The sequence below is a fragment of the Homo sapiens genome, chromosome 3 (genome assembly GCF_000001405.40).
Source record: "Homo sapiens chromosome 3, GRCh38.p14 Primary Assembly".
Classification (NCBI taxonomy): Eukaryota; Metazoa; Chordata; class Mammalia; order Primates; family Hominidae; genus Homo; species Homo sapiens.
This window is the reverse complement of record NC_000003.12, coordinates 194,819,111-194,838,853: the sequence shown is the minus strand read 5'-3', so window position 1 is coordinate 194,838,853 and position 19,743 is coordinate 194,819,111. Positions and strand designations below refer to the sequence as shown.

Genomic DNA, 19,743 nt, shown 5'->3' with positions numbered 1-19,743 from the left:
GGTCACCAGCTGCTCCCTTCTTCCAGGTGAAACCAGAGAGAGCTTGACCTCAATGTGGGTACCGACGGTCTAATTTCCTGATGCTTGGAGGAGGACATGTAAGAGGGACCGCTGGACTCTGCAGAGGGAGAAGGATGCGCTGAGACATTCCATTCCAACTCTCTCACAAAGCTACACATGAATCCCTCAGAGCTAGGGTGAGAACCCAGGGATGAATGAAGTGGATACAGTTAGGCCGCTAAAACCAGGAATTCATCTCTTCGTGTGATATTTATAGGAGTTGCACATAAAAAGTAACTCAGCCACCATTACCATCATTGCCATCATCACCATTACCCCGAGAGAGGAGCATCTGCTCAATGTCCTGTAATGTCCAAAAACAGCTTTTACAGCCATTATCTTATCTGAGCTTCATAATCACCCTGTAAAGTAGGTGCAGCAGGGCTTATTCCCTGCTCCCCTTCCCTTTTGAGGATGAGAAAACTGCAGCGCCAGGAGAAGTGACTTGCCCACGGCCATCCAGCAGGTAGTAGAGCAGACACAGGACTAGAACCCAGGCCTTCTCACTTCGGCCCAGTGTCTTTCAACGACGGCTCGGAAAGCTGTTGCCTTACCAAGAGCACCGAGGGGAATGGGTGCACTGGGAAGGTGCTCTCCTAGGTGGAGACTACCTTAGTTCAGGCTGAGGACAGAGGAGCAGAGACCCTGTTCCCCAGTGAAGGCCTGCCAATGTTCTGATGCCTTTGGGGTTGCTGATGCTCCTCATTGCACCAAGAGGAGCAACTGATTTTCTGATTTTCTGGTTGGCTTACCCCGTTGATTGCAATTGAGCTGAATCTTTAAATTGAGCTTGCCAGAAAAACTGGTACCAATTAAAGATGAGCCTTCTGCTCTCCATGGCTGGCTGTGGTTTAGAGGCCTCAGGGCAGCCCAAAAGAGGCTCTGTCCCTGTGAGGTCAGCCCTTATCCTCCCATCCCCAAGGCTCCTTGTCTGTAATCCGAGCAGACAGCCCTCACTATGGACATCTCTTTTTTTCCTCAGCAAGACCTGGTTGTGCATTTCTTCCTCCTACCCATCTCCTTGAAATCAGCCCAGTCTAGATTCAGAGACGTGTGCTGAAACACCCAGAAGTGCAGCTGCAAACCCGGAAGCGCCAGCACCAGAGGAGCCCAGGCCTTCAGCTGACTTCTCAGGCATGCCCCTCCTGCATGCCCTCCCTGCCACCCCAGCCCTCCCCCAACCACCTACACGCGGGACCAGCTCCCACTCCACGGATTCCCAGGCCCCCTGCCCTGGCGGGGCATGCTCCCATCTTTCTGGTTTGTACCCTTCTCAGTGCTCTACATCCCACTGGAGGAAACCACCTAGTCTCTGGCTTTTAACCACCTTCTGTCTCGTACTTCCATGTATCCTTGACTGCAAGCGATCTCTTTTTTCACGGTTTTGAATAAGTGTCCCAGCTAACTTATGTTGGCTTTTAAGCACAGACTCTACAGGCCTCTGTGTTATCCTTCCCTTTCACAGTATCGTGAAGTGTAAGAGGTGGAAGGGGCCTTGCGTAGTTCCATTTTACAATGAGACACACCGAGGTCCTGAGAGGAAATGCAATCTGTCCTAGGTGGAGACGACTTTAGTTTGTACTGAAGACAGAGGACCAGTGGCCTGTGCCCTAACAGAGGCTGGCAAAGCTTGGCCTTTGTGTGGATCCTGAAGCTCCAATTCCCTGATGCTTAAGGGAGTGCGTGCAGGAGGTACTGCTGCACCTAGCAGGGAGAATAATGTGCTGCACAGCTACTGGCCTGGACTCCAGCCTCCACCTTCTGGCTTCAGTGCTTAGCATTTCTTCATGATTCTCTTCTCTTGGTCTCTCCACTATTTGAGTCAATCCCAGAATCCCTTAGTCCAAGTCTGGTGCTGATGCTACTGGTACCCAATACATTGGTGAAAGAAAACAGAGGCCTATCACCAAACAGACTGAGGATTTCTTGTTTGCTACATAATCATGGCTTTGTTTTGTGCCAGCTGGGATTCACAACTTCAAAAATATGCTTGTGCAGATTTCAGCTCTGTCCTATATCCCTCCAACCGCTCTGTTTTTTCCTATCAGTTCAGGCCCTCAATATGTCCTCTTTAGCTATCTGCTCTAGCTTCATATGCTAGCCTGGTCACTCTTCCAAAGACCCAGCTCTGAGCATGTCCCCTTCTCTAAAACCTTTAGTGGCTCCCCATTATCTACTGATCTCCTTCAGCGGGTATTATCCCTCTCTGTACCAGCTGCAAATGTCTTTCTAGCTATGCCTTATCTGGCAACTCCCTCCACTGGGCTTCTTATACCCACCATGCAGCCAGCCTGTCTCTGCTCCCTCCACACGCCTTAAGCTTCCCTGATGCATTGTGTTTGCCTAGACTGTCTCCTTGGCTTGGAATGGCCTCCTCTCTCTCCCAAGCCTGCAGAAATGCTACCGACTTCTCAGGAGCTATCACAAATGCTACCTTTCCATGAAGCCTTCTTACTCAACCCACGTGGTGCCTCAGACGTCTTTGTTTTCTCTCTCTCATCTCACTCACCTAACTCTGCTTTGCTTTACAACTATTGAGAACCACGTCTCCACTGGGCTGTGAGTTGGAGGGCAGGGACTTGGCCTTTTCCAACTTGGTATTTGCTGCTACCTGTAGGAGAGGCTGCATGGTGAGCATTTGTTAAACGAATGAATTCTTTACAGTGCTGTCATTGCAAGGGTGTCTCTGGGTTGTCAAGGTTCATATGAATAATTAAGGCTATAATAATCCATCTCTGGATTATTAAAATGAACCCAGTCTCTGATAGCCTGCCTTCCACAGAGCCTTCCTCTAACAACTCTTTACCCCAGGCAGAATTTCCTTCTGGGAGCTTGAGGCTTTGATTACAGAAAAGCACCCTGGGAGGCCAGACCTAGAAACATGTTTATCAGTCTCTCACATTTGCAGTTTGCCTGAAGACAGCTCTGAAAGTGGGTTGCGTGGGGGTTAAGAGTTGGAGGTAGGGGCCGGGAGACAGCCCCCCTCCAAACTAGCCTGAGTGCTTGCAGATGTTAAAAGCAGCCAGCATTTCATAAGTGGGCATGGCGTCCGTTCCCATCAAGCCTTTCTTTCTCCTGGGCCCTGTGAGTCTGGAATAACCAACCAGGCTGCCACAGATTCCTGTGATGCTTCCTGGAAGTGAATGCTGCTGATTCTCACATTTTAGACATTATTCTATTTTTATTGTTATTTTTATTTTTTGAGACAGAGTCTCATTCTGTCGTCCAGGCTGTAGTGTAGCTGGGATTACCGGCATCCACCACCACGCCCAGCTAATTTTTGTAGTTTTAGTAGGGACGGGGTTTCTCCATGTTGGCCAGGCTGGCCTCAAACTCCTGACCTCAGGTGATCCACCCGCCTCGGCCTCCTGAAGTGCTGGGATTACAGGTGTGAGCCACTGCACCTGGCCACATTTTAGACTTTAAAAAATGATATCCACCAGTCCTTTCACTACCCTGCAGAACTTTTTATCCTTTCCACCACCAGTGGTGCACAGGGCCAGATCATGCTGGATTTTTCCACCTGAGTCAATAAAGGCTCTTTGAGCTTCCACTGGTGTGGACCTTGTGGAGGATGCCAACACATGATTCACATCTGCCCAGAGCACGCAGACTCAGAAGGCCAGACCGTAGGAGCAAAAAGGACCGTGAAGGGCACCAGGCCCTACCGCTTCATTCGCAGACCTGGAAACTGGCTGGCGTGAGACGTGGAACCATCAGGCCCCTCTGCAGGACTGCTTGTGAGCCGGGGGTGGATGGGCAATCACTGTTGGTTTTCGATGAGGAATTGCAGGGGTAGGCCCCTGGAGCCAGATCCTTTTCCCTTCTGGCCCGGGAGGCACACAGGTGTGCAGCGTGTGCCATTTGGCTGAATGGAGCAAGTAGGAGCTGAAATCCAGTTCATGCTCCTTTTTTTTTGTTTGTTTTCCTTTGAGACAAAGTCTTGCTCTGTCTCCAGGCTGGAGTGCAGTGGCATGGTCTCTGCTCACTGCAACCTCCACCTTCCAGGTTCAAGCAATTCTCCTGCCTCATCCTCCTGAGTAGCTGGGATTACAGGTGCACACCACCACACCCAGCTAATTTTTTGTATTTTTAGTAGAGACAGGGTTTCCCCATGTTGGCCAGGATGGTCTAGATCTCTTGACCTCGTGATCTGCCTGCCTTGGCCCCCCAGAGTGCTGGGATTACAGGCAACAGCCACCATACCCGGCCCCATGCTCCTTTTACCAAGCCCTATTCCATGGCCCGGCATGAGACCTCTCCCTCCACAGGAAGAGGTGACTTTCTCTATTTTGCAGAAAGGCACCTTCTACTTGACAACTCTAGTGCCAGTCTGGCTGCAGCTACACAAAGGCATGACTTTCTCTAATCGGTCCACTCAGAGGAGCCCCCATTTTCTAAGTCATGCAAAGATATGCTATAGGCCAGTGGGGGTCCAGGTGACCTTTCCCTACCTCTTCAACTGCCTCCCACCTGTCCCTTGTAAAGATCCTCCATTCAACCCAGGCTTATCATACAGGAATGTGTAGATCACTTCCTTTTCCACAGTCTCAAAGCCTCGAGCACATTCTTGCCCGTGCGTGACATGTGTATTATGCCGTTTGTGTACTTCTCTACACACCAGTGAGCTTCCTAAGGACAGAAATTCTGCTTATTGATCTTTGTTTCTATACCCTCTGGGAACATATAACTGAAGGAAGGACTCAATTAGACGCTGCCGTATAAATTCTACCTCCAGCATCTCTCTGCCACGCCACTTCTCCCACTCCCACCTGCCCCTCTTGCTGACTCTCTAAGCCTTGCTCTTCTTTACTACTCCCCTTGGATTCTGCTTTTTGTGAGATTTTCCCCAAAAAATGGTTCACAAATGTTCCCCTCCTGGTGGCTTGTGCCACACAAAGTGTGATGGTGATTCTAACAGCCAAACTTACTGAGGCCCTGGTATGTGCCTCCCGTGCCAGGGGCTTCATGAGAAGAATCTCACTTAATTCTCCCAACACCTATGAAGCTATATGAGTTATCTATTGCTGTGTTACAAATCACCGCAAACACGACAACACACACTCATTAGCTCACAGTTCCTGTGAGTCAGGAGTCCAGGCGCGGCTCAGCCGCATCCTCAGCTCGGAGTTTCACAGGGCTGTAGTCAAGGCGTTGGCCAGGCGGCATGTTCTTCTGGAGGCCCTACTGGGGAAGAATCCACTTCCAAGCTCACTCAGGTGGGCAGAATTGATTCCCTTGTGTTTTGTAGGAGTGAGCTTCCTGACTTCTTGCTGGCTAGCCACAGCCTCTGCCCTTAGCCTAAGCCGCCTTATCCTATTAGACACTTCTGAGGGTCAGTCCATCTTCACTCCCTGATTCATGGATGCCAATCAGTTGCTGGGTGAGCCTTTTTATATAGTCGCTCTGGAGGGCTGTGTGTAGCTGCTGTCACACTGGTGCTCATGCGGCCGTGCATTCCCTACATCTGACAGAGTCCCAGCTCATCAGTGTTGATGATGATGATGATGTCAGAGGAGGGAGGCCTTCTAGCCAAGGAGGAGAGAGAAGCCCAGCCTGTGAGGAGAGTTCCCTGGCTGGGTGATCCAATGTAGGGTAGGAGGGGAGAAAAGGGTGAGAGGGTGAGGGTGGGGAGAGGGGTGCAGAAAGCAGGGGAGCCCCTCAGCTCCTTTTCGGACTCCAGTGACCAAAGGAGTCTCAGTCCTGCCCACCCTGGTGCAGATCAAGGCAGTAGGGCCAGCTGTGGACTGGCAGTGACCTTGGTGCCTTTGACTCATATACCCATTGTCCTTCCACCCCCTACCTTTCACCCTGAGACAACAGCCTGTCATCTGGTCAGATTTCCCCTTTCCCTTTTGCCACCTGAACTCCTGGTTGAGCCACTGAACCCTTTTGGAGCCCAGGCTCTGCGGACTGATTCCAGGCCCTTCCTCTTAACTCATTCAAATACCCCAGATGCTTTTGTCTCTGAGATTATCTTTCCATTTTCCTCCCTGTTGTGACTTTTTTCTGGTTCGTTTGCCCACTGTGGAAATTTATGTTCTTTGCCTAGCTAATCGTATCTTCTTCCATTACTTGGGCTCCCAAATTTGATCATGCAATGATCTTTTCCCCACGATTTCTGGTAGGCAGGAAATCCTAGTTTAAAATAACAACCCATCTCATTTCTTATTCAATCATTATTCACTCAGGACATGATTTCTTTTCCTGAGGCAGAAGCAATTGCTCAATTTTATTTTCTTTATCAGTCCAGTAAACAGAAAGGCAGCGCAATAACCCCAGCAAACTCCAGTGAGCAGGAAAACATCAGGTCTTGTTTAACCTTTCCTCATCTGTGGCAGAGGGTGATAGGGTGAGCATTACTCACTGAATTATTGGTGAAATTATCTTATTCCTCCTTTTCTCCAAAGTTTAGGTCATGACAATTTTCTCCATGATGTAAACAAATAAATAGTTTTCCAAATTTGAAATGTAGGAGTCACTTTTGATCTTTCTCTCCTCCTAATCCCCACATCTAGCAGCCCCGAGTCCTATCCATTCTGTATTAGAACACCTCTCCAGGGCCCTTCCCTGCAACCCCACTTCCCCCACCCTCCCCACTCTGGGCCGCCGCAACTGTCGCTCTGTTCTCACTCCCTCCACTCTTGCCTCTTCCAATCCTTACCTCACAGAGCATCCAGACTGCTTAAAAACCTAAGCCCCCGTCCTGGCTAACATGGTGAAACCCCATCTCTATTAAAAATACAAAAAAATTAGCCGGGCGTGGTGGTGAGCACCTGTGGTCCCAGCTACTCAGGAGGCTGAGGCAAGAGAATGGCGTGAACCCGGGAGGCGGAGCTTGCAGTGAGCAGAGATCGCGCCACTGCACTCCAGCCTGGGTGACAGAGCCAGACTCCTTCTCAAACAAACAAACAAACAAACCAAAAAACCCTAAGCCCCGATTCAAACCCACCAGCAACTTCCCATTGCCCTCAAAATGCAACTCAAGCGCCTCTCTGTGTCCTGAGGCCTACAAGGCCTTACAGAATCTGGCCCCTCCTATGTCTCCTGTTTCATTTCCTGTGTCTCTGCCTTCCACCCTCTAGACACACTGTCCTCTCCTTTCCATTTCTCCCAGAGCCAAGTTCCTCACTGCCTTAGGCCCTTGCAGATGCAGCTCCCTCTACCCGGCATGCCCTTCCCCGAGCTCTTCACAGGATGGAATCCTGCTCGTTTTTCAGCCTTCTGCTTAAATGTCACCTTCCCTAGTCCTAAGCGGGCCTCCCCTATTATGCTTGCTTCTGCTTGTTCTTTTTCTTCACAGCACTTGCGGTCTTAATCAGTGGCGGCCTCTCCTCTCCACTAGACTATAAGCTCCATGAGGGCAAGGGCCATACATGTGTTGTCTCTGGCTGTATGACCAGCTCCCAGCTCAGTACCTGCCACATGGCAGGCACCAAAGTCTATTAAATGGAGTTTTGTAAAGGATTAATAAATAATGAATGAATGAGGCTTCCTTGAATTCTTTCCACCCACATGTGCCCTTCCAACAAAGATTAGATGTCTTTCAAATATGATATGGACTCCCTCCCTCCTTCCTTGACTCCATTCCCTCCATCTGTGCTCATTTCTTGAGCAATTTCTATGTGTTCACATTATTTCCCCACCACAGTGACATCTTGTTTATCTGAAGGACATTGTCTCACACCCTCTTCTACTCAGAATGCAGCCGAGAAGCCAGAAAGAAGCAAAAAGTCCTCTGCAATGAGCTCCAAACTGGGAGATTCTGGCCTTTGGGCTTCCACTCAGAGCAATATTTTCTATTTTCCCACACTCCTAATAGGGATGAAGATCTGCTCCCCAAGCCTACAGATGATTAATTTGTTTTGTTGCTGGGAAAATGTGCTGCCAAACTCCATTAAATGATGACCACCTTTTTCAACGAAGGACCTCAAGGAAGGAAATTTAAATAAAACTTCTAATAGACATAGAATCCTTATTTTTGGTATATTCATTCATCACAGTCTAAACCCTGCAGATGCATGTGCGTGCACACACACATATACACACACACACACCCTGCTGCCTCTTGCTCCCTCACCCACAGCCACATTCAGACACAATGGAGCTCCTTCCAGGGAGGTATGTAGTACACGTTGCCAGGTGTCCTGCTGGAACGCTGATGGATGCCCAGAGGGGCCCTTTTCAGCGCATCTTCCTTACAGGATCCAGGAATGCAGGAGCCTTGGGATTTCTCTCAGGTCGTCTTGGACTGGTTGGCCCGAACTGCAGCCCTCCAGAAGCTTGGAAGTGTTCCCAGGAGATCACAGATGCATTCCTTCAGCACCAAGGGCTCTGTCCAGCATACCTGGCCCATCAGAACACATACCTGTACCCACTCCCCCCAAGAACTGTTCCACAACTTCCATACGGTCAAAGCCAAGAAATGGAGTATTTACAATCAATTGATTCGTTATTCATTCATCTGCATTTCATTCATCTGCATTTCACATCCCCTGTGTGCCTGGCAGGCAACATGCAGGATGGTCTCTGCCCTCGGGGGACTGCCTTACTCAAGTGCTGGCTGCACCAGCGATTTCCCGTTTCTAAGACAATGCTTACTTTCTTAAATAGCCTATCAGGTGGGTTCCCTTAGGGGTCTGGGTTACCTTAGGGGTCCTTAACCTTGGCTCTGACTTCTTGTTGTCTGTTTACAATTTGTTCACCTATCTCAGAAGAACTTCTGCCCTGATTTGTAGAGAGCTTGCTACATTGCTGGTTTCTGCTGGCTCAGCTGGAACTGCCTACCAGGTTCCTTCCTCTCTGTCTCTGCGTCCCGCATCTGATGCAGTATCGAAGTGCGGATTTAGTTTCAGATTTGTCCTAGAAGCTGCCGCAGCAGTTTTTTGTTTGTTTGTTTGTTTTGAGAAGGAGTCTCGCTCTCGCCCAGGCTGGAGTGCAGTGGCGTGATCTCGTCTCACTGCAAGCTCTGCCTCCCGGGTTCACGCCATTCTCCTGCCTCAGCCTCCCGAGTAGCTGGGACTACAGGCGCCCACCACCACGCCCGGCTAATTTTTTGTATTTTTAGTAGAGATGGGGTTTCACCGTGTTAGCCAGGATGGTCTCGATCTCCTGACCTCGTGATCCACCCGCCTTGGCCTCCCAAAGTGCTGGGCTTATAGGCGTGAGCCACCGCGCCCGGCCCCGCAGCAGTTTTTTAGGATTGGAGGCGGATCGCTGTTAGTCACTGATTCTCTAGGGATTGTCCTATGAAAGGAGACATATGTATTTCCCTGGAGGAGCTCCCCCAATCCACTGTAATCTCATTTCAAGTTATTTCCATAAAGAATTCCTGATAGGTGCCCAGGGAGCTGAACTGGTTACATCGATGTTCGGGCATTCAAGGCCCTAAGGGCCCAAGGCCTGACGGGAATGGGACAAAGCCCGCAGGTGGGAACAGAGCCACAGCAGCGAGACGGCTTATCCGTTTTTCTGTGTTAGGTTTCCAGGTGAACCAATATCTCACTCATTGAAGAACATTAAACTTCATGGACAAGGAATTATGAGACTTCTCTCATAAGCATGGACTTCCAGTAACTCACAAAGGCCTCTGACTCAATTTCCTCCAAAGGTTCTCTTAACTGCCACCACTTCTCTCCAGCCCTCTGCCACCTCTGCCCTTGCCTGGACACCGCACAATGTTGTAACCGCAACTCCTGACTCACCTCTCAGTCCCCTCTAATTTGGTCTCCACACAGCATCCAGAGCCATCTTTTAAGCCACAAATCCAACAAGGTTTCTGTCGCCCCTCAATGGCCTCCTTAGGCCTCAGAATAATATCCAAGCCCCTTTGCTCTGGTTCACAGAATCCTTCCAGCTTGGTCCCCGTTGACCTCTGCTACGTCCTTATTCCTCAGCACTCGTTCTCTCGCACGAATGCTCTGATCACACATACCCCGTGTTTGCTCTTGCTTCCAGGTCTTCAAACATGACACACGTCATCCTGGATTTCCCTGCCTTCCCTCCCCTAACTCCTAGTCAACCCTGAAGACGGTTTAGACACCATCAAAGGGTACCAGGGGAGGACACTGGCCCAGAGCACTCAGCGCCCTCCATCACCACCTCCTTTCCCAGCAGCTGGATTAGGAGGCCCTGTACCGCTGTTGAGACATTACCTTAATATGCGCTAATTACCTGTTTAGTTGTCTGTTTCCCTTACTGGGACGTAAGACCTTGAGACCTAGATTCTCTCCTGTTCATTATTGTATCTCCAGTGGCTAGCACAGTTCCCAGGATATAACAGGGAAAACTCAATAAATGGCCGTTGAATTCATTCATTCATGAATAGAATTGCTGCAATAGGATAAATCCCTGGTGTCAGAGACAATCTTGAAAAAGCGGGTTAGCACAATAAGAAAAGCCCCAGGCAGGAAGGTCATGAGATCTGAGTTCCTCATAAACTCGGACAAGTCAAATCTCCTCTCGCACAGAACTTCAGTTTTCCCACATATAAATTCCAAAATCTAAATCTCAGAGGTCCTTTTCAGCCTCTGTGGTTTTTGGTGGTGAATCACACATGTTTTCTCGAAGAATTATCCCTATTCTTTTGAGTTGCCTGTGAGGGACATCAGAAGACCATCATGTTCAGAGGAGCACTCTTAAATTCCGTAAATACCACCAAGGACATAATTAGAAAAAAGAGATGCTTTGGTCCCAACAGGACTTAGTCCTCAAAACCTAATTGTCAATACCTCCTACTGCCTTCTTCCTGGGATGGAGGAGTCCCTGTCTTTATTTTCTCCTAATTGGCATCTTGGGACTTCTCTATGATGGCTTCGCCGTATTTTCCCTACAGAGCTGGTAAGTTAGCTGAATTCCAAAGATTGGGGGTAAAAGTATCCATCAGAATCAGGACCTGAGAGAACTGGAAAATGTGTCAAATTATATGAATGACCATAAAGTGTCTAGAAATTTATTATAGCCCTCCAGAGTCTAAGGCCTGAGGCCCCAAAATCGTGAGCTGGAATGTAAGGCAGCAGGTAGAAGGGCTCAAAATTATTGCTAAGGAGTCCACAGATTCCTTATGAATCCAGCATTGTTTCTAGACTAAATGAATATGAAGTCTTGCAACTATACCTTGTTTCTCAAATGTACAACAGAGCTGCCATTGTAACTAACAACATAGAAATTCATTTAAAAATAGCACTGAATTCATACCAACCATGATGCACTTTCCTTGCTCTATGGATATAATTATGGATACAACAAAAGGTACTACAACAGATACTACCACAAATACTACCATGCATACTACAATGGGTAGTGCAAGGACTCTCAGTTACTAGAATGCCAGCTCTGGAAAAGATGAAACCACAGCTATCTTATTGGTGCTATACTCCTAGCACCTTGTTCAAGGCTGGCCATGTGCTGGAGGCTGATCAGATATTTGTCAGGCATCAGGGAAAACTTTTTACTTTAAAAAGACAGATGCAGCCGGGCATGGTGGCTCATGCCTGTAACCCTAGCACTTTGGGAGGCCGAGGCGGGCAGATCCCCTGAGGTCAGGAGTTCGAGACCAGCCTGGCCAACATGGCTAAACCCTGTCTCTACTAAAAATACAAAAAAAATAGCCAGACATGGTGACAGATGTCTATAATCCCAGTTACTCAGGAGGCTGAGGCAGGAGAATCAGTTGAATCCAGGAGGTGGAGGTTGCAGTGAGCCAAGATCACACCATTGCACTCCAGCCCGCTCAACAAAAGCAAAAACTCCATCTCAAAAAATAAACAAACAAACAAATACATAAATAGTAAAATAGAATAAAAAATAAAAACACAGCCATATTTGAAAATTTTAAGAACCACTAGGTGGTCAAAATAATTAACAAAATGACAGCTTCATGTTTTATTGCCTGTTGCAATTAAAAAACATTTGCTTTCACATATATGACTGCATTTGGCTCTCAAAAGATGATCCTGCAAGGAAAGTAGAGCTCAAAGTCCAACAGGCTGCCTGGGGCGGCACCGTAAGCACCAGTAGTGGAACCTCGGCTTACCATGTGATGACATTTGCTTGCAGGAGAACGTAGCTCTCCTCTCCCCTCTGCTAGCTGGGATGGCTCAGAGAAGTGACATCCGGGTAAGACAAGGCCCTAAAATAAGACTGGAGCTTCGTCAAGCCAGGTGACTTATTGCTAAGAATTGCAAAATTAATACAGAGATTCTTGCATTTAACAAAGTAAAGCAGTTGGTGAGGTTGCCTGAGCGGTGGCAGGCGAGGCTCTCCTTTTGTGTCTCCATCATCTCCCTTTTTTCTGTCATTAAATAGAAATAAAACGGTAGGGGCAATGTGAAGGTGAGTCTCTGTTAAGTAATTTAAAGTGCATATTTTTGTGTATCTTGATTGAGGCCCAAGCTTTAAGGATCACGAAAGATGGCTGAAATGCAAAACCCAATGCAAATTGCAATCAGAAGCCTACTGATTAAATAAAGTAAGGTACATTCATACAATGGAATCAGATGCAGTTAAAATGATATAGATTTATGTTTGTTGATATACCATTGACTAAAGTAAGTAAAGGATAGCATATACTGTACAGTGTTTTCCTATTTACCTACATGTTATCCCTCTTGCAAGTGCAAAGACAGATGCCTGGAGTGACAGTCACCCAACATTAACTAGCTCTGCACAGGAGGATTTCATATGACTTTTACTTTCATACTTTTACATTGTTATGAGTGTGCAAATGGTATGTTCTCTGAGCCCACCTGCACGGCTCATTCCAGAGAGTATAACGCATTCCCATAGGGCAGTGGTCTTTATTAACGAGTCCTCAACCATCATCCAAAGCTACTGGACACTTTCAGTCCTTTGATTACTAAGAAGACTGAGCCTTGACTGGCCATGTGACCAGCTACCACTGCAGGGCTGAAGTCACAGTGCTCACCGCTGCCAGCAAGGATCTCCCAAGAGTCACAGAGACACCCAGGCAGCATATGAGTCCATCGTCCACCTTGACTGGCCACATGGCAAGCCACCACCGCAGGGCTCAAGTCACAGTGCTCACCGCTGCTTGCAAGGATCTTCCAGGAGCCACAGAGACACCAAGGCAGGGTATGAGTCCATCGCCCACCCTGCCCACTCACTCTGGGCATCTTCCTTGTCCCCCAGGAGGCAGTGTTGAGGGAGGACAGATGGACATCCTTGTTCCCTCCCAACAAGCCAGGGACCAGTGTCTGTGCCCATAGCCTTCTCCCCAGAGGCCATTGGTCAACCATCTCAGCCACCGTGGGGACTGACCCTGGCCAGGTGCTCAAGGAATTTGGAGTCACTTTGTTTTTCTGAGCCTCAGTTTCTTCACTGGTAAAATTGGGATTAAACACTGCCTCCTGTGAGGATCAAATCAGATACAGTTTATTACAGTGCGTTGTAGACTTTAAAATGGTTTTGTGGTTGAAAAATCGGCAAGACAGCAGAGGCTTTGGAGTTCAACATGGATCTGAATGTGGTCCTGTCACAAATTGACTATGTGACTTGGGGAAGTTAAACATCCTCTCACGGCCTCAGTTTCTGGCCTTTAGTACGGGGTTCTCCTTTGTCCTACCACCAGCCCAAAACCCTTCAGGAGGAACTGTGATTTGTTAAGCTCCAGAGGACCAAGGCTCAAAGGAAACCTTCTGAGGAGTAATGATGCAGATGCTGTGGGGGTGGGGATGCCTCAAATGATGCAGATGCTGTGGGGGTGGGGGATGCCTCATGGCTAGAATCCAACTTTCCCCACTTTGGTTTTATTTTTACACCCCTGAAGTCCAAAACCAGCTGTCTGAATCACTGGCAAACGGAGCCAAAACTATTGTCATGCGTCATAGGAGGCCGCAGGCTCCAGCCACACCTCAGGATGGTGCACTAAAAATATCCTCCCAGCGCTATTTTTAAGGCCCTGCAGCCTGCTGACCCCAGGTCACGGGAGCGGAGCCCTCACCACACGCACGCAGAGGCACCAAGTTAGGACCTGATGCCTAGCGGGTCCTTGGGTCAGTGAGTGAGGTGCCGCGCGTAAACCCCGCACTCTCCTCCCTGCCCACAGGGATCGCCCGTTGTGCAAAGGCCTCTGCCGCAGGTGCAGGCTCATCCCTCTCTGGATGCCTGCCAGGCACCACAAAGCCCACTGCGATGGGACCACTGTGCCCAGCTGTGCACTCCGCTTCCACACTGGACATTCTCAGAATCAACAGCACACGGCATCTGCCTGGCTGGGACACTGGGTACTCACCCTTCACCTGTGAACGGTCATTTATCATTTCCAAAGCATGTTCACAGCCGTGACCTTCTCTGACCCCCACTGCACTTCTGCCAAATTGATATTATTATCCCCAAGTTATAGATTAGGAAATGAAAGTGATATATGTGCATTTCTAACAGCACTGTTATACAATACAATGTAGATGAACGTCTCTGGTGTGACTGAAGGTAGGATGACCTCGGATTAGCCAACATTGGCTCAGAATTTCTTCCTGGTGTCCTGCACATCTGGCCACACCCACCTTCCCTTGTAGTCAAACCAGTCACCATTCATTCATTCATTTGACAAGCATTTCCCCAGCATGCCCTCTGGGCCAGGCCTTCTCAGAGATAAATCACATCTTCCCTGTCCTGGGGAGGTCATGGTGCCAGGACAGAACTCTGGGGCATGGTGGGCACAGGGTAGCGGGAGAAGGTAAAAAGGCTCCAGGAAGGAAGTCATCCCTTTGGGGATCTGAGGGCTGAGCAGGAAACAGAAATGCTGTCCAGACAGGAGCAGCTTAGGCAGGAGAGCAGGGAGCAAGTAGGAGCTGAAAGCGGGTCAGAGTGGGAGTGGGTAGGAGGCAGGGACCCGGGGCTGGACCAGAGCAGGGCAGAGCGGGAGGTACGGGGCTGCCTGAAGGGCATGGGGAGCCACTGGGGGGTTCCAGCAGTGGAGAATGTGATCATTGGTCGGTGTTGGAGCTGTCCCTGTGGTAGCTGTGGGGAGAATGGAGAGAAACAAGGCTGCAGAGAAGAAGGCCAGATGCAGGTCTTACAATAGCTCAGGTGAGACAGGATGGGGCTGAGGCAGGTGGAGTGAGAGAGGATGAAAAAGAAGGAGCCAGTTCTAGAAGTCTTTAGAAGTAACTAAAAGGTAGGATGAAAACAAGCGACAGGGCTTAGACCAGTTGGATACGTAGGGCAGGAGAAAAGAAGAGTCCAGGGTACCAGGGTTGGGCCTGAGTGACTGTGAACAGATGAACGCCATCCACAGAGTGAGGGCACACGGGGCAGAAGCAGGTGCAGGCAAGGGCAAGCTTGCTTTGCGTCTGTCATAGTGGGGGCAGGGCACGTGGCTATCTAAGCAGCACTGATAAGCAGGAAGTCAGGTATACAGTTGTGGGGCTCAGGAAGAAATCAGGCTTGCATCAAACCTTTTGGAAGGTGGTAAGGAGTTGAAGAAGCCTCTAGAACAATGGGTCTCAACCTTCTCTCATCAAAATCAACTGGACAGCTTAAAAAAAAAATACTGATATCTGGGTCCCATTCCCAGACATTCTGATGTGATTACTGTATTTCTGTATAATGGGCCCTGGCATTGGTATATTTTTAGTGATCCCAGGTGCTCCTTCTGATGTGTAGCCAGGGATGGAAACACTGCCACGGAGACACAATGATGGAGCAGAGATGAGGCAGGCCTGTGGTGCACACCAACATGGAAGGGCCAGGGAGGGAAGAGAGCCCCAAATCAGTCTGGCCTTCAGGGCGGAGGGCACCAAGAGAGAGCATTATCCTGGAGCAGCAGGAGTGGGACGTCAGGAAAGCGGTCCTGAGAGCAGCATTGGATGCTGCAGGAAGAACCAGGCCGTGGGAAGACTGAGGAGTGCCTCTGGCGTTTAGCATCTAGGAGTCTGTCAAGGTGACCCGGGCCAGGACAGGTTCCAGGTTGGGGGAAGGCAGCTGATGAGGGTTGCAGACTAGACCAGACTTCAAGGAGAGTGGAAGGGGAGTAAGTGAAGACGCCAAACGAGAAGCACTCTTTTAGGAAACTTGGCCATGAATAGAAGCGGAGAAAAGAAGAGGAAAAGGAGGTATGATTGGACAGATTTGAGGACGCTTCTCTTCCAAGCATGAAGAAGCAAGAGGGGTAAGTGGACAAGGCCTTGAATGACGGGCAAAGTGAAGTTCGTAGAGGGTGGTCCTGAGGAAGCTGAGGGACCTGGGTTTCAGGGCTCAGTGCAGAGATCACCCCAGGAGGTGGGCTGCTTTCCCCCCAGGGGGCTAGGACCTGAGATCGTGTCACCTGCCCTCCGTACAGCCCTGCACCTGCATCTGTGCCGTGGAGTGTGTTGATGGGTGGGCAGGCGCTGCTCTTTCCCCTGACCTGCAGCCCCACAGCTAGCCCTCTTTCTCATGCCAGCCTTCCGTGTCCTGGCCCTGCTGCTGGAGCTGCACATGCCAGGCTCTGCCTAAATGCAGATGACTCCACCAACTTTTGCTCCACTCCTCACCCCCAGAACTGTTGTTGTTGTTGTTTACCAACTATGAAGGACCCACCACAGGTAGAGAACCGAGTACTTTGCACACTTGGAGCCCCTGCTTTCAAGACCTCCACAGCCTACTTATCTAATAGTCATTGCATGAATTCCTACATATGTACATGTATAAACATGAAAGCAATGGCGAAAATGCATTTCCAATCATACATATGCCTAATTGTGCACGCTCACCGCAGGATAGACACAAACGCCTCCAATGGGCACACGTATGTCACCAAGACCTCCCCGCAGGACCCTGCTTGGCTACTCTGAGAGCGGCTCTCATGGCCTGGAAAGAAGCCCACATTGACACAGGCCCAAGACCACCCGCCTTTCCCAACACATTCACTCGAGTTTAGGAAAGGCCATGACTCACCTCCAGTTACTGAACCCCGAGCCTTTCCGACATGTGGTCAAAGGGAAAGAAATTGGCCTCTGCATTTTGGAATTTATGCATCATGGAGCTCAGTTTTTGTTTTCCCAGTAAATGGCTTCTCGAAGATAACAGGAGGAGGTGTCTTTCCAATGCTCACCCTCTTTCCCAGTTTTGCTCCAGAAACATCTGGCGCCATCAGTGACTCAGTTTCAACTTGCAGTTTTAATTTCTTCATTTACAAGAGCTATAAAAGAATAGCCAGCAAAGCAGTCACTCCAGTATTTTTAAACTTACACCACTGATGCTTTTGTCTACTAACGAGTGTTATTGAGTATTTGCAAAAAAAAAAAAAATCCAAACTCAGTACCTATTTCAATACATTCTTAACTCAGTACAATTCAATACATTCTTAACTCAGTACGTTCCAATACATTCTTAACTCAATACATTTCAATACCTTCTTAAGGAAAAATTTCTGACATGTGAATTGCTCTCTTTAAGTAAAAAATGTTCTTAATTCTGAATTCTAGGTAAAAATAAGTATGAGGATGACAGTAATAGGCTATTCTGAGATAAAACTTTTTTTTCCCACCCCACGTTAGGCCTTGGTTGAGAAAGTGATACTGTCCCTCCTGTCTTCGAGGGACAGTGAGAAGGAGCCATGTTCATGCTATCAATAGCAAAGCACCCACTCACACGCAGAGACACTGTACAATGGTGTATTAAAATGGTAAACTTGAGCCATCTTAGCTCGAGACCAGATTTCTTAGAGAGTGTGGGCCCCTGGACCCTGTATGCATCAGCCCTACAAAGGCCATTTGAGTCCCCCACCCCACCCCACCCTCTGCTTCCCTCAACCACAGATACCATCCCTGACCCTGGCAAGCCCCCTGCAGTATAGACTGTTCCAGGCCTCCAGGCTGCCATTTTTTCTTCTTCCGTGACTCTTCTGACCCTGATTGTTTGGACAATGTGGGGAGGATTCTCTCCCTTAGGATAAAGAATGGGAGCCCAGTGGGGTTACCACTTCCTATCTTAGAAGGGCATCTGGAAACAGATATTTCTAGAACTGTGGAATCTTCTTGGGGGGCAGGTTGACCTCTTGGGAACCCAGAGGGAGAGAAGATAGCAGGTTTCAACTCATCACTAGCAAGAATAGTACTTACAGGTGCCTTGGAAGGTGGTGAGTTCCCCATGCTGGGGAGACTCAAGCAGAAGCTGTAGGGTTGTTTGTCAGGGATGTCCCGCAGGGGCTGCTCTTCATCAGGACTTTGTGGCCATTCCTGCACCGTGTGAGGTGAAGCCCGGTCCAGCCTCCCCTCCTCTCCATGGTTCTCCTTTGCATTGCACAGACAGGACTCACTCAAGACTCTCCAAAACTCTCAACACTGAGCAAACTTAGCTGTCCTCCTCCTCCCTGTCTAGCCTGTGACCACAGCTCAAAAAGTGACTGGAGCCCTCTCCGGTGCTGAGTTACAAACTGATGTCCTGGCTTTGAGCATATGAAAGGGGTATGAATAGCTTTATTTTACTAACAAGGAAGCAGAGTTTACAGAGGTGATGTAGCTAGCTGGTCCGTGGAAGTTTGGCCCAGGCTCCTGACCATTGGCCACAGTGATTTTTTAAATGCATTCTTAGGTAAGGCAAAGAGCAATGTACATAATCATTCCACCTAATGTAACCTGTTTGTAAACCAAGTTTTTCTTTTTTTTTTCTTTTCTTTTTTTCTTTTTTTGAGACATTGTCTCATTGTCACCCATGCTAGAGCACAGTGGTGCAATCAGAGGTCACTGCATGAGTCTTCACCCACCAGGCTCAAGCAATTCTCCCACCTCAGCCTTCTGAGTAGCTGGGACTACAGCGCGTGCCACCATGCCCATATCCCACTAATTTTTATGGTTTTTGTAGAGGTGGGGTTTTGTTGTTGCCCAGGCTGGCCTCGAACTCATGGGCTTCAGCAATCTGCCTGCCTCAGCCTCCCAAAGTGCTGGGATTACAGGCATGAGCCACCGCACCCGGCCTTTACGGGCGTGAGCCACCACACAGCCTAAACCACATTTTTGAGCACATTTCCCTAAAATGCTATTTAATGACATGGTTTCATCCCCATTTCCCATCCACAGGATTTTTGGTTTCTCGCATTCTTTACTTCCATTATAGGACATGTCGACGAGGGATTACCAGACTTCTGGGAGCTGTACTACCTGATAGTTGCCTGTTGGATTTTGTAATCCATCCTCCCACCCCTTCCTGGGGGCATTCTGTGGAGGACAGTGAGGCCCACATGTACACCTGCATGCTGAGCAGATTAAAACTCGTCCTGTTTCCACACATCGCATGAGATCTGGGGGGAACAAGAAACATTCTGGGTGGTTTTGGATCTTACATCTCGGGTCAGGGATCTAGAAGTAATCCAGGTTGGACAGGCAGGAGCTGTCAGATCCAGATTGGACAGGTGGGAGCTGTCAGGAGAGGCTGTGTCTCATTAGCTCTCAGGCATCAGCGCTCTCAGAACCAGTCCAGAACAGAACAGCAAAACCCAAAAGATCTGGCATGGGAGAGGCAGAACCACCTGCAGGGAAATCTTATTTGTTTTATTTTTATTTTGTTATTTTTTTTTTGAGACAGAGTCTCGCTCTGTCACCCAGGCTGGAGTGCAGTGGTACGATCTCGGCTCACTGCAGCCTCCACTTCCCGGGTTCAAGCGATTCTCCTGCCTCAGCCTCCTGAGTAGCTGGGATTACAGACGCCTGCCACCACGCCAGGCTAATTTTTGTATTTTTAGAA

General features: G+C 48.9%; 1 long non-coding RNA gene across 1 annotated transcript in view; it reads right to left on the bottom strand.

Moving 5' to 3' along the window:
- Nucleotides 1-12,403: 12,403 nt before the first annotated feature.
- The window catches only part of LOC105374292 (uncharacterized), a 120,878-nt gene continuing 113,538 nt past the window's right edge, over nt 12,404-19,743 (bottom strand). The window contains exons 4-6 of the long non-coding RNA XR_001741084.2: nt 18,123-18,293; nt 16,957-17,200; nt 12,404-13,427 (exon numbers count right to left, since the gene is read on the bottom strand). This is a non-coding gene — a long non-coding RNA (uncharacterized LOC105374292). The remainder of the gene's footprint in view (nt 13,428-16,956; nt 17,201-18,122; nt 18,294-19,743) is intronic.